This window comes from Homo sapiens, chromosome 6, assembly GCF_000001405.40.
Source record: "Homo sapiens chromosome 6, GRCh38.p14 Primary Assembly".
Lineage (NCBI taxonomy): Eukaryota > Metazoa > Chordata > Mammalia > Primates > Hominidae > Homo > Homo sapiens.
This window is the reverse complement of record NC_000006.12, coordinates 168,320,155-168,341,453: the sequence shown is the minus strand read 5'-3', so window position 1 is coordinate 168,341,453 and position 21,299 is coordinate 168,320,155. Positions and strand designations below refer to the sequence as shown.

At 42.0% G+C, this 21,299-nt stretch overlaps 1 long non-coding RNA gene across 1 annotated transcript, besides 3 other annotated features; it reads left to right on the top strand.

Moving 5' to 3' along the window:
* Window positions 1-7,066: 7,066 nt before the first annotated feature.
* On the top strand, window positions 7,067-8,203 carry LOC105378139 (uncharacterized). Its single transcript, XR_943290.4, has 3 exons — window positions 7,067-7,153; window positions 7,292-7,469; window positions 7,810-8,203. It is a non-coding gene; the product is annotated as an uncharacterized LOC105378139 (long non-coding RNA).
* Window positions 8,842-9,512: an enhancer, noted in NCBI's record as "OCT4-NANOG hESC enhancer chr6:168732622-168733292 (GRCh37/hg19 assembly coordinates)". NCBI's record gives its function as "activates a minimal SCP1, AML or CMV promoter by ChIP-STARR-seq in naive H9 embryonic stem cells {active_cell/tissue: H9 hESC(naive)}" and the evidence as "EXISTENCE:reporter gene assay evidence [ECO:0000049][PMID:30033119]".
* Window positions 9,051-9,345: a silencer, noted in NCBI's record as "tiled region #8937; HepG2 Repressive non-DNase unmatched - State 23:Low". NCBI's record gives its function as "represses a minimal TATA promoter and a strong SV40 promoter by Sharpr-MPRA in HepG2 cells {active_cell/tissue: HepG2}" and the evidence as "EXISTENCE:reporter gene assay evidence [ECO:0000049][PMID:27701403]".
* Window positions 18,760-18,928: a silencer, noted in NCBI's record as "fragment chr6:168723206-168723374 (GRCh37/hg19 assembly coordinates)". NCBI's record gives its function as "represses an EF-1alpha promoter that drives an FKBP-Casp9 reporter gene in an ReSE screen in HepG2 liver carcinoma cells {active_cell/tissue: HepG2}" and the evidence as "EXISTENCE:reporter gene assay evidence [ECO:0000049][PMID:32094911]".

Genomic DNA, 21,299 nt, shown 5'->3' with positions numbered 1-21,299 from the left:
ACATGGGCTAGACACAAACTGAATGAAATGGCAGTCTGGGAATTCAAGCAGAAAACATCCCGAAGTTGTCTGGATTCTGTAAGGGTGAAGAATGGGCAAAATTCGCCTGCAAACCCCACCAGCTCCCCTCCACCATGAAACCAGTCGTTAAGGAGGAGCTAGTGGTGGGACGCATCCTCCACAAAGAGGAAGACATGGATGTGTCTTCGCACCGATTCTAAGACAGGTGACCCGAGCCCACAGAGGGAGACGAGGCCCTGAGTGGCGTCAGGGAGGGCGCATGGTAGGATGGGACATGGGAGAGGCCTGGGGGGAGGGCAGGTGCATGTCCTGGCACCTCAGGGGAGGCGTTCACAGCCAAGGGCACCCTACAAGCAAAGGGGCAGCATGGCTGAGTGAAGGCCCAGACTGGACCTCAGCAGGCCATGAGCTTGAGAACAGGAGGGACCGGACCAGGCAAAGCCCGCAAGGGACCATCTGGATTTCCTCCATGGAGCCTGCCAGGACCACATGGATGTACCTGCATCCACCTGGGGCCCCGGGGACCACACTGGGCACCAGTGATTTATCACCAGCCGCAAATGGCAAAGGCAGCGTACCATGGGAGAGGTGTTTCTCCAGAGAATCTTGCGGAGCAGCAGAGGCATTCCATGTGATTCCTGTAGGCCCATTTCCTCGTAGACAATGGGATCCACAGTGTGGCAGCTTTGAGGTCCCTAGGAGGTCTGCCTTCAGAGCCTGTGCTCTTAAACCACAGGATCCCCTCCTCCCGTGGTTCACTATGAAGTCTGACATCCTCAGGCCACAGGCTGGCCTAATACGGGCCTTGTGTCAGTTACTGGGATCCAGTTTCTCCATTATATAATGGGAAGACTAATGAATATTCATAGGTTACTTATGAGGAATAAACAGACCAATGTTTCTAAAACACAGTGCCTTATATAGTAAATGCCTTATAAGAAGAAAACGGTCTAAAAGTTAGACTATACATAGAATTTAATTCCCTTTAATTCCTTGCCTTTCAGGATTATCTAGTTATAAATATTTATATTTTGTTGATTTCATATTATTTAAATAGTTTATACTTATTTTAAATTAATGCAATTAAAAAATAATAATCAGTCTAGCAAGGCTGTGTGGGAACACAGTGCCTAGGCGTGGCTGTTGAAAGCGTGAATCAGTACAACTTTCTGAGGGGCAACCTTTTCAATGTACATAAGCCATTCACCTTTTGTGTCTGTTTTCTAAAGATATAAAATAGAGATGAACACGTATTTAGCTGCCAGTGGACATGTCGTAGCAAGTGTGTCCATCGAGGTCGAGTCGGGAGATGATGCAGACCCAACGACTTAACAAAGAGAATTCGACATAAATAATCACTAGCTGTGAATTCAAGGACTGAAAAGAAAACACCGAGGTGCTCACTGAGTGAGCTGCAGGAAGTGGAAGGAGCAGGCTGGTGCTCCCAGGGACTTCCTGGCAGGAAAGACACAGATGGCCAAGTGTAGGCCCAGACCTGCAAAGCCAGCACTGTGGGCGATGGGGGCTGAGTGAGGAGTCACCCCGTAGGCAGCACAGCAGGGATGGGGTAACTGCATCCAAGCTGCAGATTCATAAACTGTTACATGCACCAACAAAGATTGAACATCCATGTAACCATGAGCCAGGGCAGGTGACAGAGACAGAGGACAGCACTCACCCAATGCCAAGCAAAGAGCGCAGGTTACCTGTGTGATGTAGTGTGGCTCTGTGTCCCCACCCAAATCTCATCTCGAATGGTAATCCCCCCGTGTCGAGGGAGGGAGGTGACTGGGTCATGGGGGCAGTCTCCCCCATGGTGGTCTCGTGATAATGAGTAAGTTCTCACAAGATCTGATGGTTTTATAAGCATCTAGCATTTCCCCTGCTTGTACTTCTCTCTCCTGCTGCCATGTGAAGAAGCTCCTTGCTTCCCCTTCATCTTCCACCATGATCGTTAAGTTTCCTGAGGCCTCCCCAGCCATGCGGAACTGTGAGTCAATTAAACCTCTCTCCTTCATAAATTACCCAGTCTCGGGAATTTCTTTATAGCAGTGTGAAAACACACCTATAGTGGTGTAAATGCACTGTGTGCACTATGTAATTTCATTTTTAACATAAAATATAAGGCCCCCAAAAGATAGAAATGCACCCTAAACAGGGTTGTAGAAATGTGACTCTGGAAGGTGAGATTGTGAAAACTGTTTCTTTTTCTTTCTTTTGTTTTTTCCAATTGTTCTATAATAAGCATGTATTACTTTTGTAATGGCAAGAAAACAGTACGTTTTTTGTTGTAATAGATTAAATGTATGAACAAACAGGTGAGTCTAGTTCACATTTAGGTTTGGGCTGGGAATCCTGTCTGGGGCTGGGAATCCTGTCTGTTCACACCACAGAGCAATGACAAACCCGGTTCCCAACACTCACCCCACTCCAGTTCCGGGCTGATGCTCCCAGAAAATACCTTCCTGCGGGGAGTTTTGCAAATAGGAATCTTTCCAGTGATGGTAAATATTGGTAAAGATACCAAAACACTTCTTCCTCTGGAGGCTGTTTGCTTACTTCCCGGTCACCCTCGGTTTCTGCCAACCATTCTTTGAAATCTCCGTGGATTCTGTTTAAATTTCCCCTTCTCTTTGCTTAAGAAAATGTCATTTTTTTCATTTACTAAGTATTTATTATTGACCCAGTTATTTATACCCCTCCTTATTTTATGAGGAACTTAATAAAGTTGGCATTCATGTGTAAGCTTACCAACATACAATTAAATTACATGAAATGGTCAATATTCAACTTTTTTTTTTTTTGACACAGAGTCTCACATCTCACTCTGTTGCCCAGGCTGGAGTGCAATGGCACAATCTCGGCTCACTGCAACCTCTGCCTCCCTGGCTCAAGCGATTCTCCTGCCTCAGGCTCCCGAGTAGTTGAGATTACAGGTGCCCATCACCGCACCTGGATAATTTTTGTATTTTTAGTAGAGATGGAGTTTCACCATGTTGGACAGGCTGGTCTTGAACTCCTAACCTCAGGTGATCCGCCTGCCTCGGCCTCTCAAAGTGCTGGGATTACAGCACTTTGACCCACCATGTCATAGGCATGGTGACCTACCATGCCTGGCCTATTCAACCTTGTTAAATTAAAAAAAAAAAACAGCAACTTCACATGGTTCAGTCTAATGTAAAACACGTGTCTAATACTGAAACACACTCTGTAAAATTAATTTGGATTTTATTTTCCATTCAACTTTTGTTTAATTGGCAGATCACATAAAATTGCATATAGCCATGTACAATGTGGTGTGTTAATACATGTTTACATGGTGGGATAATTAAATCAAGCTAATTAACATATTCACCACCTCACATACGTACTGTTTTTGTGGTAAGAAGATTTAAAATCTACTCTTTTAGCAATTGTGAAATATATATTATTATTAGGTGGAATTTTACTACACATTGGGCAGATTCTGATTATAACACTGAAATGGATTTAGGTTTTACATGGATAACTTTTAGACCATGTTTACCTGTAAAACCTATGCCTTTCTTCTACATTCTTGTTTTCCTTTCCCCTATCCTCCAAAAAAAAAAAAAAAAGCATGACTCTGACATGCTTTCTTCACATCAGAAAATATTTTACACACATTTCTATTTACACTCTCCAATGGTTGTAATTACAAAATCTATTAAAATGTTTTTAAAAACTTTAAAATATCAAACACAACCACATATGTGCACAATATAATTTAAAAAGGAAAACAATCATATTTCCCCAATGAAACCTAAAATCTGTATTTCCTAAAATATTCTTATATGATTTATATTTTTTTCTTAACTATAATTCACTAAGATAATGTTATTATTTTATTGTGTACTGAATTACTACATATTTGGATATCCTCTTTTATATCATAGTTCTAGCTAAACTGGTTAGTATTTGTGAATCTTGTTTTTTCTCTTAGCTCCCCATTCCTTCCAGCATATGCTGGAAATTTTCTGTTATCTTCAGCATCTTTGATCTGTGTGGACAGAATGCTGAATGTAGGTGTGAAACTTAAATGCAAATGAAACTTAACTGAAATGCTACATGCTTTCCGTTTTCTTCAGTAAGAAGCATGCACATGACTAGCACTAGCTAATGCAGTCTGAGTACTTGCAAGATATCTAACATTGTTCTAGTTGCTTCATGTCTGAACTCCTGTATTTCTGCGATTTTTGTTGGTGATAACTTCTGTTAGTACCCTCACTGTGCAAATAATGAAACTGATGCACAGACAGCAACTAAGTGGCCAGAGGTCACACATAATCTTTGTGTTTAACTGGTAAAGCAGAGAAAAAAGCAAGGTTCACCTCACCCTCATTACTGAGGATGCAGCAGTGTGCATGTGTGTGGGGTGCTGGTGCAGGAAAGGATGGCGGCTACTGGAACGAGATCCCCACTCACATCCTGGGAAAACAAGGTGGCAAAGGAACACAGAGGGCCACAGTGCCTCTGCCTGGACCCTCAGGACCAGCAGGCCAGTTCAAACTGAGGCTTAGCTGCACACTCTGGCTCTTAGAGTCCTTGGGCTGCACGAAAAGAATATGCAACTTCATGCACCTTCTGGAATGGCTACCACGAAACAGACAGACAACACCAGGTGCTAGTGGGATGTGGACTGACAGGGGCTCCTGCACACTGCTGGTTGGATATGCAATGCACAGCCACTCTGAAAACTGGCAGTTTCTTAAAACATTAAGCATCTGTCTACCCTATGACCTAGCCACTCCACCCCAAGATATCTACCCATTTCCAAGAGAAATGAAAACACATGTCCACAAAACGTCTCATACAAGAAGAATCAGGAGAGTTCGTCTATAACAGCCACAGACTAGAAATAACCCAAATGCCCATCCACTGGTCAACAGACAAAAGCGGTTGCAGTATCACCCTCAAAAGGAGGGAAGGATGATTCCTGTAAGATGGACAAATGTCAAAAGTTCTGGAACAGGCAGGGCTAACTTAGGGTGCTAGAAATACCAACAGTGAATGCTTGGGGACTGGGCCAAAGAAAATGTATGAGCTATAGAAATGCTCTTCCCTGACTCCATATATGTGTGAGTTACACGGGTGTATACAACAGTCAAAACTCATTAGACTGTATCGTTATGATTTGTCCATTTCACCATATGCTTAAATGAAAAAGCAAACAAATCACAAATATGCATAATCTATGATCCAGCAATTCCACTTCCGTGTATATCCAACTAAAAGAAATGTGCAAGTGTCAGGGCAGCAACAGCCGAAAGAGGAAACAACTGGATCTTGTGTTAGTAGCAGAGTGGATAAACTGTACCTATGTTCATGAGGATATATTATTATTCATTCTGCTGCTAAACTTAACTATATCCCCAGGGATATAGTTACATGCTGCTACTACATGCAGCAGTAAAAATGAAGGAAATGGCCAAGTGCGCTGGCTCTCCCCTGTAATCCCAGCACTTTGGGAGGCCGAGGCGGGCGGATCACAAGGTCAGGAGTTCAAGACCAGCCTGGCCAACATAGTGAAACCCTGTCTCTACTAAAAATACAAAAAGTGAGCCGGGCGTGGTGGCACCCGCCTGTAATCCAGCTACTCAGGAAGCTGAGGCAGGAGAATCGCTTGAACCCGGGAGGTGGAGGTTGCTGTGAGCCGAGATCTTGCCACTGCACTCCAGCCTGGGTGACAGAGTGAGACTCCGTCACACACACACACAAAATGAATGAACTGTTGCTACGTGGCATACCATGGGTGTGGCTCAAACATAATATTGAACAAAAGAAGCTAGATACAAAAGACAGCATGGTGTCATTTATAGAAAACTCACCAAGAGGCCAACTAACCTACAATACTGCATGGCAGGACATGTTAGGAGGTGGTGGGGGCGGTGACAGGAAGGAATGCACCAGAAACATGTGGGTGACAGGTCTGTGCCTACTTGCTAACGGGTGTCTCCACGTGTCAGAATTCTGTCTGCAGCCTGGTAAAAGCAGGTTGTGGAAAGACGCGATACCCTTCCCCTCCCTCTTGTTATTCTTGGAACTGACATATCCTGAACAGAGCCTAGCAAATGGTAATAATCAGATGGGTTGGGTCCGTGTACAACATCAACCTGCTGTTTTCTGTTTGTTTGCCTGTTTTGTTTGTGCTTGTGAGTTCTCTGTCAAGGCCATACTTTGGACATTTGGGGACTCACAGCTGGGGCAAATGAAGAGGTGAAAACGCTCTCAGTCCTCCTTTGCTATCAGGTCAAGAACTAAATTACAGAAAGATCCTAAGAAAATCAATGTCATCCATGCTCGTTTGAATAGTTTGCCCCATAGAATAAGTAAAAAACAAACATAAAAAGACCCACAAGTCCTCTTTTGAAGTCTTTCTTTTCATTTTATATTTTTTTTTCCAGATAATTTGCAGATTGCAATCTCACCTTTTCAAAGCAATTGGACGCGTCTTCATACCAAATTTCACTCAAGGGAACCTGTGTGCTCGTCTGCAATGCACTCTGGGCAGGGAACCTGTGTGCTCATCTGCAATGCACTCTGGGTAGGGAACCTGTGTGCAAGTCTGCAATGCACTCTGGGTAGGGAACCTGTGTGCAAGTCTGCAATGCACTCTGGGTAGGGAACCTGTGTGCTAGTCTGCAATGCACTCTGGGCAGGGAACCTGTGTGCTCATCTGCAATGCACTCTGGGCAGGGAACCTGTGTGCTAGTCTGCAATGCACTCTGGGTAGGGAACCTGTGTGCAAGTCTGCAATGCACTCTGGGCAGGGAACCTGTGTGCAATTCTGCAATGCACTCTGGGTAGGGAACCTGTGTGCAAGTCTGCAATGCACTCTGGGCAGGGAACCTGTGTGCAAGTCTGCAATGCACTCTGGGCAGGGAACCTGTGTGCAAGTCTGCAATGCACTCTGGGCAGGGAACCTGTGTGCAAGTCTGCAATGCACTCTGGGCAGGGAACCTGTGTGCTCATCTGCAATGCAGTCTAGGCAGGGAACCTGTGTGCTCGTCTGCAATACACTCTGGGCAGGGAACCTGTGTGCTCGTCTGCAATACACTCTGGGCAGGGAAACTGTGTGCAAGTCTGCAATACACTCTGGGCTTTATGTCTAAAGGTATGGTCCTTTGCTTTATTCTCTACCTTTGCCCTAAGAGATAAGCATTGCTTGGAGCAGTTCCATAGCAATTATCATTAATCTTGTTGTGTAATTGTAGAAAGGTCTCCTAACCTCTAAATCATCTTATTTCTTCAGTCAGTCAGCAGGGTTTTTTGCAAGCGGAATGCAGAAGCCATGTAAGGCCACAGAACAGTTACAGACGATGAGGAACAGTGAGCGTCCCCCTCCCATTCAGTGGGAGCCACCTGCGCAGGCCCACCCCACAGACCACAGCGAGGATGCGCGCCTAAGAACGGTGGTGGTTGGAACTAAGGTATGAGGACTATACACCATAAATATTCCTGAATTACTTAGTTCAGAGGTAGAGAGAGTTAACATAACTGCTTCTTTTAATTATATGATCTAAAGTATACACGAGAATAATCACCAAACTCCCATGCTAGGCGATATGGTGTGGGTCTGTGTCTCCGCCCAAATCTCACATTCAAGTGTAACCCCCAGTGTTGGAGGTGGGGCTGGTGGGAGGAGCTGGATCAGGGGGGTGGATCTTCCATGAATTCCTTAGCGCCCTCCCCTCCATGCTGTTCTCTTGAGGGAGTTCTCAGGAGATCTGGCTGTTTAAAGGGCGCGGCACTTCCTGCCTCTATCTCTAGGTCCTGCTCTGGCTTTGCCTTCCACCATGAATGAAAGCTCCCTAAAGCCTCCCCGGAAGCAGACGCCACCATGCCTCCTGCATAGCCTGTGGAGGAAACCTCTTCTTTTCCTTATAAACTAAACCTCTTTTCCTTAAAAATTACCCGGCCTCAGGTATTTCTTGATAGCAATGCGAGAATGCACTAATAACACCAGGTATACGCCAACAGTAGAATAAATATTCATTTAATCCGATACAAAATTATTTAACAGTTACACTTATACAATTACATATATTCCCCCAAAGTTTATTATTTCTCAAAGATTAAGGTGTATCTTTACTTTGTAGTCATAACTGAGTGTCTGCTTGTTAATGGTATTGCAGTTTATATAAAATAAAAATGGTGGAAACAGCGTGTGCTACTTTCCGGACTTGCTGCCCCCTGTGGGGTGTGTGTGCATCTGCAAGTGAACCTGTGGTCTGTGTCTCTCCTGTAGCTGCTCAGACCACTGGAAGGCACTGCCTTCCCTGGCCTAAGCATCAACGCTCGTTTTTATCTCCATGAACTTCAATAAGCTTCCTTCTAAAATACATAATTCACATGTAAAGAAATTATTCCTTCTGTATTTTAATTTCCTCTCAATCACTTAGGGTCCTCACAATGAACAAGATTTTGGTGCTAATTTTCTATTGCTAGTGACCTCACACATTACTGAGCTCTACCCCTTGCATTGAGTGGCCACAGATTTCCTCTATTTCATGTTATTTTTGACATCCTCTCCCGTAACTTTAATACAGAGCTCTTACATACCAATAATAAATATCTCGAGTAAATTTTTGATAAATATTTAAACAGATAATACCAGAGAAGGTGTACAAATATATAACACATGTCAAAAAAGTTCAATCTTAATACTAATCCACGGGAGTGACCCCCTCCTTTCTTGGGGGAAATTTCTTTGAAGTTCAGTGGAACTTCTTGTGCAAATGTCCCATCTTTTTGCTGCTCTCTAGAGACAGGATGATGGCAAGTTTTACTCCCAAATCTTTAAATCTACAGTTTATACTGAAAAACTAAACTATGTAAAATTCATCAGTCACCTCATAAACATTAAGATGCCTTGGGAAACTCATACAAAAGTAATGGTTTAAACATGACTTCAGACTTAGTAAATCATCCTTTTAGTTTTGCAAAACAAAGTAAAACATCCATTATATTTAACATCTCTATTATATCAAATGTGGGGCACATCAGACAATTGAAATGTCACCAGCCACAAGCAGCCCATGGAGAAGCGTGTGTGTTGAGCGTCCTGCTGGCAGAGGTGCACGGGGGCTCCATCTCTGAGTATGTTTCACAGCTTGTACCATTTACATGTCACCGCCTTAAGGCAGAGCTCTCATTCCCCTTCTTAAGCAGGTAGTTGGAATCACGTGGAGCTGTGAATTACACAATCCATTAGCAGCTTCTCCTCGCCCTACAGGGAGGCAACTCCCATTGTTCTCAACCAACAGCTGCATGCAACAGAACTCCATGCCCGGGAACCAAACGAAGATGGAGCCAAATGACAGTAACCACCACCACCTGAGCCATAGACACGCCGAAGTCTTACCACGAAGTAACCGCCACCACCTGAGCCGTAGACATGCCAAAGTCCTACCACGAAGTCTACAGGGGGGAAATTATGAGCTTCTGATAATATTTTATGAGATTCTTTTATACATAAAGGAAAGTCATCTGCTGACTGATGAACTTAGGCAGCACCTACCAGCATAATCCCAATGTGCCTTTAGCAGTCATATAATTATGAACTTCATATGGTTGCTTCGTCATGCAGAGAAGTCACATATATTTGCTGTAACTTTATTAACAGCCATTTCCTTTAATAAAACTAAATAAGCTGCTATAGTGTTTATCGAGTTTTAGATGAGGAGTACCTATAATTTCTCCCACTTTAAAATTTCTCTTGACTACTCACAGATGTGAGGCCTGAAGACTAGATGAAGTTGGTGGCTTTATTTTATACTTCAAGGAGAGTCACTAATTGTTAAACTTTTGATTTAACGACACATTTAATGCTTTAATGATTTACCCATATGTAACTAGTATTAACGTTGTAAATGTGTAATGTTTCACACCTTTCTATGCACAAAATACCCACGTACACCACATGCACACACACACACATGCACACACATGCACAATTTTTAATTAAGCCAATGTTTTCTAATCTGGTCTTTTGTCCTAAAAAAAATTATGAACAATTTTCCATGTCAACAATATCCGTGTACTTTAGTGAATGCCATCCTGAGATGCCAGAGTGAGTGATCAGTGTGAGGAGAGATGAAACGGGTCAGCAGCAGAGGCTGCAGAATCCAAGGACAGTGCCAGGCATGCAAGCGTTGTGCAATATTGAGAGCAGGTCAAAGCAGCAGGGATGGGGAGTCCATTTAGCCAGTGCCACGGTGCCAGAATAATCAACCACATGGGAAAGATGCTAGACTCCTACATCATACCACATGCAAAAAGAAATTCTGGGTGAATGAGAGATATACATTTAATATTAGAATGTGTGTAATATCAGAATAAAATGTACCAAAGTATTGCCTTCATGTTGAAATGGGAGAAAACTTTACAATGGCACAGGAGTTATGAAACACATTAAAAAAAGGAAAAGAATTACATGCTGATAAGTCAAAGTTACCACAAAGCTGTGGAAAAAGATAGATTGGGGGAAAATATGTGTAACACACATGGCAGGAAACTGGCAGTAACCTGCATCTATAACAAGATCGCACAAATTAATAAGATTTAAACAGTGAAAAAAATGATATGTGTACACGATTCCCAGTGAAAGACACAGAGCTTGCTGACGTACACACGGAAAGGTGCTCAAACTCACTGCAAGTCACGGCACCGCATGCTGAATAAATACTGAGATGCCATTTATTTACGACTCAAATCCAGGGGAAAAAAGTTGTAAAATGATGACATTGGTGTCAGCAACATATTGGGTGTGGAGTTAGCCCTATAACACATTGCTTGTTATGGCAACAATAAGAAATAATTGCACAATAATAAAATAAAACTACACATGCCCACTGACATCAGGAATCCCATCTTAGAGAATACAGCCTATGGCAATAAAACCGACGGCACTAAGGCGATACGTATGTGCTTGGTAGCATTGCTATACATAGTGGGAGAAAACCAGCAACTGAATGTTCATCAGTAGAAAAATGATTGAAGTATATCACGTAAGGAAACTTTTTATTAAAAGTTTATGATTTTTTATTAAAATGTTTATTTTTTATTAAAAGATGAAACTATAGAGTTATATGTACAGTATGAGTGTATAGTGTGAGTACAGAAGTGATAGATAATAGGTAGATAGAGAGAGAGATAGATTTGTGAAAGACTACACAATAAAATATGTAAGGAAGACTTGACTCAAGGACGACGGAGAGAAGACATCAAATTTTCCTTAATATCTATTGCATATTGTATATTATTTTGTAATAAAAACACTTCATAATATTTAAAAAATTATGCAACACAGGAGATGATTTAAAAGACCACGGTGCAGTTTTTAATTGTTCTTTGAGCTCAATGACGAACCAATTACCATGTCTTTATGCAGCAAGTATTACTAGACAGCTACCTCAAACCAGGTATATTGTTCTAAGTGTCTAAAATACACCAGTAAAAAAACTAAAGGTCTCTAATCGCACCACTCTTACAGTCTAGTGGGGAAGGACAAACAAGGAGTAATCATCATTTTAAAAAGGCAAACTATGAAGTATGCGAGGAGATAATGTGCTGTGAAAACAACAGTGCAGGTGAGGGCTCAGGAGGCTGCAGAGTGGACGGGAACCCTCCCAGAAGAGGGCACAGCATGGAGCTGAGAGGGCACAGCATGGAGGGAGGGCTCAGGAGGCTGCAGGGTGGACGGGAGCCCTCCCAGAAGAGGGCACAGCATGGAAGTGAGAGAGCACAGCATGGAGGGAGGGCTCAGGAGGCTGCAGGGTGGACAGGAGCTCTCCCAGAAGAGGGCACAGCATGGAGGTGATAGGGCACAGCATGGAGGTGAGAGGGTACCGCATGGAGGGAGGGCTCAGGAGGCACAGAGTGGATGGGAGCCCTCCCAGAAGAGGGCACAGCATGGAGGTGAGAGGGCACAGCATGGAGGGAGGGCTCAGGAAGCTGCAGGGTGGATGGGAGCCCTCCCGGAAGAGGGCACATTATGGAGGTGAGAGGGCACAGCATGGAGGTGAGAGGGCACAGCATGGAGGGAGGGCTCAGAAGGCTGCAGGGTGGACGGGAGCCCTCCCAGAAGAGGGCACAGCATGTGCAAAGGTCTCGGGCATCTGAGAAACAGCAGATGCAGGGAGTGAGATGAGACAAGGGGAGGAGAAGGGGTCCGAAGGAAGAGGGTCTCAAGGGCCATCATAACCTACAGCTTTTCTCTGCGTGAAGCTGGGGGCCATGCCAGGGTTTTGAGCAGAGAAGTGACAAGGTCTGACACCCACTGTTGTGTTCAAAACAGGCCATGTTGGGGAAAGCACAGGAGCAGGAGGGCCTGTTGGGGATCCCTGCAGTGGAGCAGGCAGAACAAGGGCTCCTGGTGACCCAGGGCTGAGAGGTCATTGGACGATTCCAGTCCATAGCACACTGCTTAGTTGGAGCTCGGTATTTTCAAGAAGTTTGCTATTGATGTGGTATTAGTCTGTTTTTACACTGCTATAAAGATACTACCCAAGACTGGGTAATTTATAAACAAAAGAGATTTAATTGACTCACAGTTCCACATGGCTGGGGAGGCCTCAGGAAACTTACGATCATGATGGAAGGGGAAGCAGCCCTTTCTTCACAAGGTGGCAGGGGAGAGAAGAGTTAATGAAGGAACTTCCAGCCACTTATAAAACCATCAGCTCTTGTGAGAACCCACTCACTATCATGAAAACAGCATGGGGGAAACCCCATGATCCAATCACCTCCCACCAACACCTGGGGATTACAAGTCAAGATGAGGTTTGGGTGGGGCCACAAAGCCTAAACATATCAGGTGTTTAATGGCTAATATTTAACCAACAGTAATGTTTATTTATTTATTTATTTAATGACGTTGTATCCTTATAAACAGTGGTTAAAGACCAAAAATCACTCTCTGGAGCACCAGTTTTAATAATCTCATTTATTCTACATATATATCATGATTTATTCAACCAAGTACTTACATAGATTGCTTCCAAATTTTGCAGTTATAAAGAGTGTTCAAATAAGCAGCCTTATAGAGTCATCTTAGAATGTTCCGCTGATTGGTTCTTTAGAATACATTGCTAGAAGTGAATCATGGAGCATGTTCATTTTAAGGCTTTTGACCGTTCTGCGGAATTGCCCTCTAGGAATTTTCTCCTGATTTGCAGTCCCACTAGCAGTCTGTTGCAAGAGGGTACATTTCCTCCCTAGCAATGAGTGTTATTATTATGGTTATTCTTTTTGATCTCTGCCAATCTGATTGGGGAGAAGGAAGTTTTCTAATTTGATAAATCGTGTGTGTATTAATGTTGGCTTACTGCACAAGTAAATTGATCAACAAGAAAGTAACTTAACTCAATAGAGAAAGTGACCCACAGCCACAGTAAACTTACAAAAAAAAATGTTTCAATTCTCTTATGCCTCTAAATGGACCCTGCTGACAGGCATGCACGCTTTACATGTACTTATAGTCATAATGTAGTTACAATTTTACATGCGGTTTCTTCTTCCTGGCACTTGGCATCTTATAAACATTTTCTTCATTGCTATGTAGTATTCCAAATTATAACTGTAACGGTTATGCGATACGTAGTAATTGACTAAATTGTGTACTTTAGGAACCTCTGATGATGATCAAAGAAAAGGAGGGGAGAAGGCCTGTCCCTCAGAGCTGGACTTGCTGTCACCTCTGTGGAGTTTAAGAGGGACATGAGAAGGAGACGCACGCCTAACTATGTGAGCCTTGAAAAGAAAGTCAAAGGTAGAGAAACAGAAAAGCAGACATCACACAACATGGGTAATTTAGAAAATACAAACAAAATTAGTATTCAGAGAGAGATTCAAGAAGCGATTGCATCCAGAAAATAAAAAATTGTAAAATATGAACGTGACCCAGAGGCTAACAAAGACCTATTAAAAATTAAAAATATGATCAATAAAATAATAGAAGTGCTGGAAGCCAAAATTGAACAAAATATTCAAAAACAAAAAGTAAGATAGGAAATATGACAGAAAAAATAAAATCAGAAAGGCTTAATCATGGAAGTCCAAACGAGAATTAAAATGTTGCAATAAGGAGACAGAAGAGATAAATAAAAAGGAGAAATTATCAAAGAAATAGAGAAGAATTTTTCTAGAGTCAAAGAACAAAGCTCCTTTCATGTTGAAGTTTACCAAATGCTGAGTGTGATGATTAATTTTATGTGTCAACCTAATGCCTGCTGAGCCACAGGCATTTGGTCCAATGTTATTCCGGATGTTTCTGTGAGGGCGTTTTCAGATAAGATTAACATTTACATCGGTGGACTCTGAGTAAAGCAAATTGTCCTCCCTGATGTGGGAGGCCCTCATCCAATCAGTTGAAGTCGTGAAGAGGAAAAATCCGACCTCCCTTCACCAAGAGGGATTCTTTATCGTTGTAGGGAGAGAAAAACAAAGCTCTGATAAAATGGGCAAAGATTCCAAGTTTATGGTAAGTAAATGGTAGGACCAGTGAAACAGGAGGTGGGGTGAAGGAGTCGGAAAGCTGGTAAAATTGTAAAATTGCCACAATCTGGAAGTGAGGTGGGACCTTCCTACAAATCAGTGTGAAGACCCTTAGTCCTCCTTGTGGAGGCCTCAAAAATGTTCCCTGAGCCCAAACTCTTTCTCAGAGGCACCTGTGATAGTGCATGTCATCTTGTGTGTGTGAGAGAGAGAGAGAAAAGGAGAGAGAGTGCAAAAAATCCAGCACATCCTACAATCAACATAAATTTATATGACAAAAGGGGAGAGTACGATTGAGACAAATAAACCAAGTCTAACTTTTCCAGACCTGTTTTTTTGCCTGTGACCTTCTGAACAGGGGACAACGGCAGAACAAAGGACTATGCAATCACTGGAATTCCTGACCAAGCTCACATTCTAGGACTCAAACTGAGATTGCATCAGTGCCTTTCCTCTGGAGGCTACGCTAACAGAGCTAGTTACATCCTTTACCCCAGACAGCTCTGAAGGAGACACAGTTCATGCAGGCAGTGGTCCCACGGTTCTCCTCCAAGTCAATGCTATGACACAATCTAAGATACAGAGGACCCAATATTTACCCAGTAACAAGCTCCTGACGACCACCAATGAGGGCTGAGCTATGCCGATAAGGGAGAGAGAAGCCAGCAAGCCAAAAACTCATTTTAAGACATTAGAGGAAATAATCCAGTGAAGCACGCCCACAGAAAATAGGCAGAAGGAAGTTGAGAAGGAAAACAGCACGCGTGGATGAGTTAGAAAGCAGACACCAACAGAGAGGACCACCAAAGCCAATAGCTCTTTCTCTGAGAAACTGATAAAACTGTGAAACCGTTGCCAAAATGTAGAGAGAGCACAAATAACCAATGATAGAAAAAATGTGAGGAGGTATCACGGCAGATTACAAGACATCTGAAGATACTAGCTCAGGTCATGACGCCAGCACACTTGAAAACATGGACAAAAGGAAGAAAACCCTATGGAATAATACATCTGCAACAAACTGACATGAAAAAATAAAAAGTCTGAATAATCAAACAACTATTTAAAAGCTTGTATTCAAAATTAAAATTTTCACACACAAAAATCCCAGGTAGAGATGGCTTCATTAACAAATTCTGCCAAATATTTAAGAATAAAACGGCATGGGGCTTACACACATCTTCGCATAGACTATCAAAAGAGGGAATGCTTTCACTCTATGAGGTCAGCATACTATTGATTCCGAAAACTTGAAAAAGACAAGAAAGGAGAATTATGAGCTAATCTCCTTGGGAATATAGATGCAAAACTTTAAAACCAAATACTACCCAACTAAATCTAGCAATATATAAGTGGGACAATATGTCATAACCAGGTTGATTTATTCCAGAAATGCAGGGTTGGCTTTATATTTGCAAATCAATCAGCATAATTTATGAAATAAATAGGGAAAAAAGGAGAAAAATATTTTAATTCCCTCAATATCTTAGAAAATACCTTTGATAAAATTCAACATCATTCTAGGAACAGATGATTATTTTATTAATCTCATAAAGGGCATCTTCAAAGCACACACACCATCGTCTCAGTGATGAAATATTGAAAAGCTTCCCACTGTCCTTGAAAGTGACACATGGAAAAGGAAGCATGATAGCATCACCATTCAACATTCTCTTTGGGGCGCTAGCCACTAAAATAAAGCAAGAAAAATGAATAAAAGATTTAAGGGTCAGAAATAAAGACATAAAACTGCCATTAATCTCAGATGATATGAATGTATATGGAAAAAAATCCCAAAGAATCTCTAGATAAATGATTCAAATGAAAAAATGAGTTTAGCAAAGTTGTTAGATTCTTTGTTGGTATTTTTATCTATCATCAACCAAAATAAAATGAATTTTTAAAAGGTAACTGGCAATAGCATTAGGGAATCAGGAGCCCAGGAGAGCCAGTGTAACGCCATTTTAAAACCAACTGCCATCCTGCCTCACGGTCCTAAGATGTTTACAGCTAAGGAAACAGCTCGGTCATGCCTGCAAGACAAACTCCTACCACAACAGAAAGTCCAGGTGTCCCAATACCTGTAACAACATATGCCTTCAAGATAATTATAGTAATGCTCCGACGTACTTACATACTGAAATGTCAAGAATAGTTTTCTTTAAATCAACAGAATAATTCTGTCCTGCTGTCAGCCCACCCACATATAGTCACAGCTTAGCATAGACTTTACATAGCAAGACCCTATATCAGAAAAACTTAAAATGAAGAGGTGAATTCCTCCACTTGCTGTATGAGGACATCAAACTCAAACTCTGCAATGGAGTAGTATCTAAGAAACTTGCTTCTTTCACTGCACTCTGCCACTCACCTTGAATTCCTTCCTGCATGGGATCCAAGAACTCTCTCTTGGGGTCTGAATCAAGACTGCTTTTCTGGTAACAATAGCATCAGAAAAGAAGAAGAAGGAGAAGGAGAAGGAGAAGAAAGTAGGGACAAATCTAATGAGAGTTCTACAAGACTGCCACATCTTTCTATACAGAAAATTATAAAATAATAATTAGAGATATTAAAAGAAACGTCTATGTACATACATACCATGAAACACTACGCAGACATAAAAAAGAACTAGATCATGTCCTTTGCAGCAACATGGACAGAGCTGGAGGCCATTATCCTAAGTGAACTCATACAGGAACAGAAAACCAAATACCACATGTTCTCACTTACAAGTGAGAGCTAAACATCAGATACACGCGCACATAAAGAAGACAACAGGCCCCAAGGCCGATTTGAGAGTAGAGGGTGGGAGAAGGGTGAGGAAGGAAAAACTATATATCCAGTGCTATGCTTATTACCCGGGTGACAAAATAATCTGTATGCCAAATCCCTGTGGCATGCAATTCACCTATACAACAAATCTGCCTATGTATCCTGAACCTAAAAGTATTAAGAAAAAGAAGAAAACTTTTATAAATAAAGGGGTATTCCTTGTCTGTGGATTAGTAATAGAATGTTCAAGATTGTAAAGATGTAATTTCTCCCCGGATGGACTACAGAGTCAATGGAGTCTTATCAAAATACAGTAGACTTCTGGTATTTATTTCCTTGCTGATTCTAAATTTTATGTAATATAGCAAAGTACCAAAGATATTCAAGACACCCTTGAAAAATATGGTGGGAGAACTTGCTCTACAAAATATCAGCATTTCTTTTAAAGACAAAACAATTATGACAAGTGCAAGAACAGACAGATGCACTAGCCACATGGAGACTAAGACCCAGAACATTCCGGAAAACACACAGATATTTTACTCAGGACAAAGGTGGCGGCAACATGCAAGAGTTCAAAAAGGACAAGATTTTTCAATAAATATTGCACTGGAATATGTGCTTAAAAACAAGTAAATTGTGACACCTCCTCCAAATACAGCACATGAAAAGCCATTCTGGGTGGATTATAGATCTAGATAAGAAAGGCAAAATGATAAGGTTTCTAGAAGACAGCATTAGGTAATGTCTTCAATAACCTGGGTGAGTAAACATTTCTTCAAAAGGGCACAAAAAGATTAATAATAAATAAGACTATGTAAAAATTAAGACCTTCTGTTTACCAAAGGACACGATTCAGAGAGCTCACATACAGGGAGAAGACATAACTGATAAAGGGCTCACCTCCAGTCTGTCTCTCTCTCTGTCACTATCTTCATCTCTCTCTATCTTTAAAAGGCATCTAAGACAAACCCACAGCTGACGTCATACTTAACAGGAAAGACTGAATGTTTTCTTTGGCCCTTTCTGTTCAACATGGTGTTAGATGTTGTAGCCAGAACAACTTGGCAGGTAAAAGAAGTAAAAGGTACCCATCCTGGAAAGAAAGCAGTAAAACTGTCTCTATTTCCAGATGACATGAGCTTCTAGGTAGAAAGTACAAATAAATTCACATGCACACACACACACCCACACACACACACAACTATTAGAACTAATAAACAAGTTCAGCAGAGTTGTAGGAATCAATATACAAGAATCTTTTTTTTTCTTTTTGAGACAGGGTCTCACTCTGTTGTCTGGCTGGAGTTCAGTGGTGCAAACACAGCTCACTGTAACCATGACCTCCTGGGTTCAATGGATCCTCTAGCCTCAGCCTCCCTCCTGAGTAGCTGAAACTACAGGTGCATGCCACCATACCCTGGCTATTTTTGTATTTTTGGTAGAGGCAGGGTTTTGCCATGTTACCCAGGCTGCTCTGGAATGCCTCAGCTCAAATGATCCACGTGCCTCTGCCTCCCAAAGTGCTGGGATTACAGGTGTGTGCCACTATGCCTGGCCTTCCAATCAATATTTAATTTTTATACACTAACAATGAATGTTCTGAAAATAAAACTAGAAAACAATTCCATGTACAATTGTGTCAAAAATAATAAAATACTTAGAAATAAATTAAGCAAGTACAAGACTTCTATGCTGAAAACTACAAAGCACTGTCGAAAGAAATTAATGAAGACCTAAATAAGTGGAAAGACATCCTATGTTTATGGTTCAGAAGATTTAATCTTAAGGTAGCAATACCTGCAATAGGTAAACAAATTTAGTTGCAATTCCCATCCAAATCCCAGATGACTTCTTTGCTGAAATTGACAAGCTGATACTAAAATTCATATAGAAATCAAAAGACACGGGCCAGGAGTAGCAGCTCACACCTGTAATTTGGGAGGCCAGGCAGGCGGATCACCTGAGGTCAGGAGTTAGAGACCAGCCTGGCCAACATGGCCAAGCCCCATCTCTACTAAAAATACAAAAATTAGCCAGGCGTGGTGGCATGTACCTGTAATCACAGCTACTTGGGAGGCTGAGGCAGGAGAATTGCTTGAGCCCAGGAGATGGAGGTTGCAGTGAGCCAAGATCGCACCACTGCACTCCAGCCTGGGCAACAGAGTAAGGCCCTGTCTCAAAAAGGAGGAGGAAGAAGAAGAAGAAGAAGAAGAAGAAGGAGAAGGAGAAGGAGAAGGAGAAGGAGAAGGAGAAGGAGAAGGAGAAGGAGAAGGAGAAGGAGAGGAAGAGGAAGAGGAAGAGGAAGAGGAAGAAGAAGAAGAAGAAGAAGAAGAAGAAGAAGAAGAAAAAAGAATCAAAAGACACAGATCAGCCAAAACAATCTTGGAAAAGAAAAAATTGGAGGACTCACATTTCCTGACTTCAAAACTTATTACAAGGCTACAATGATTGAAACAGTGTGGTACTGGCATAAGAATAGACATATATTGCAACGCAACAGAACTGAGAAACCAGAAACTGATTTCTGGATCAACTGATTTTCAACAAGGGTCCCAAGACAATTCAACAGGGAAAGAATTGTTTTTTCAACAAATGGTACTAGGACAACTGGGTATGTAAAAGAAGGGGCCCCTACCTCACACCATATACAGAAATTAATGCAAAATAGAACAAAGGCTTAAATGTAAGTGCTAAGTCTACAGCAAAATCTTAGAAATCATAGCTGTAAACTTTGTCTTTGGATTAGACAATGCTCTGTTAGATCACCCAAAGCATAAGGAACAACAACAAAGTAGATACACTGGAATTCACCAAAATTACAAACATTTTTTGCTGCAAAGGACACTATCAAGAACATGAAAAAAACTCACAACATGGAAAAATTATTTGTCAATCATGTATTTCATAAGGGAAGTGCAAATCATGTCTGATAAGGGAATTGTATAATGAATACTCACATCTCAATAACGAAAAGACAACCTAAATTTTAAAATGGGCCAAGGATCTGAATAGACAGTTCTCCAAAGGAAGTATACAACAAGCACATGGAAAGATGCTCAACGTCCTTAGCCATCGGGGAAACACAAATCAAAACCACAGGGAGATACCACTTCACATCTGCTGGACTAAAGACAGCGGTTGGTGTGCACACTGAGGAAATGGAACCCTCATACCCCGCTGGCTGCTGTGATTCCACTTGGAAAGCAGCCTGGCAGCTCCTCACAAGATTAAGCACGGTAGTCACCTACGATCCAGCCATTCCTCTCTTAGGTATAATGAAAACATATTGCCACACAAAAACTCATACAGGAATGTCCTTGCAGCGTTATTCGTAATAGCTAAAAAATGGAACAACTCACATGTCATCAGCAGATGAATGGATAAACAAAACTTGGCACAGCCATGCAGTGGAGTATTATTCAGCCACACAAAGGAATACAGTTCTGACGCAATCTGCAGCACAGACGCACCTTGAAAACGCTCACCAAAAGGAGCCCCCACAGAGACCTCCTGGCGTGTGACCCCATTTCCATGAACTTCCAGAACCTGCGGGGTGGTGGTTCTATGTGTGGGGGTGCAGGAGAGGGAATGGGGGTAGCTACCGATGAGAACAGGGTTTCTTTTGGGGGTGGTGAACACAACTTCGTTAATATACTAAAAACGAACTGTACACCTTAAATTAGGTGAGTTTTATGGTATGTGAACTGCATCTTAAGCAATTATTTTAAAAATTTAAAAAGCAAGCTGAGCAGCCTGGCCAACATGGTGAAACCCCATCTGTACTAAAAATACAAAAATTAGCCAGGTATGGTGGTAGGCGCCTGTAGTCCCAGCTACTCGGGAGGCTGAGGCAGGAGAATCGCTTGAACCCGGGAGGCAGAGGTTGCAGTGAGAGGAGATCGCGCCACTGCACTCCAGCCTGGGCGACAGAGCGAGACACTGTCTCAAAAAAAAAAAAAAAAAAAAAAAAAAAAAAAAAAAAGCGAGGT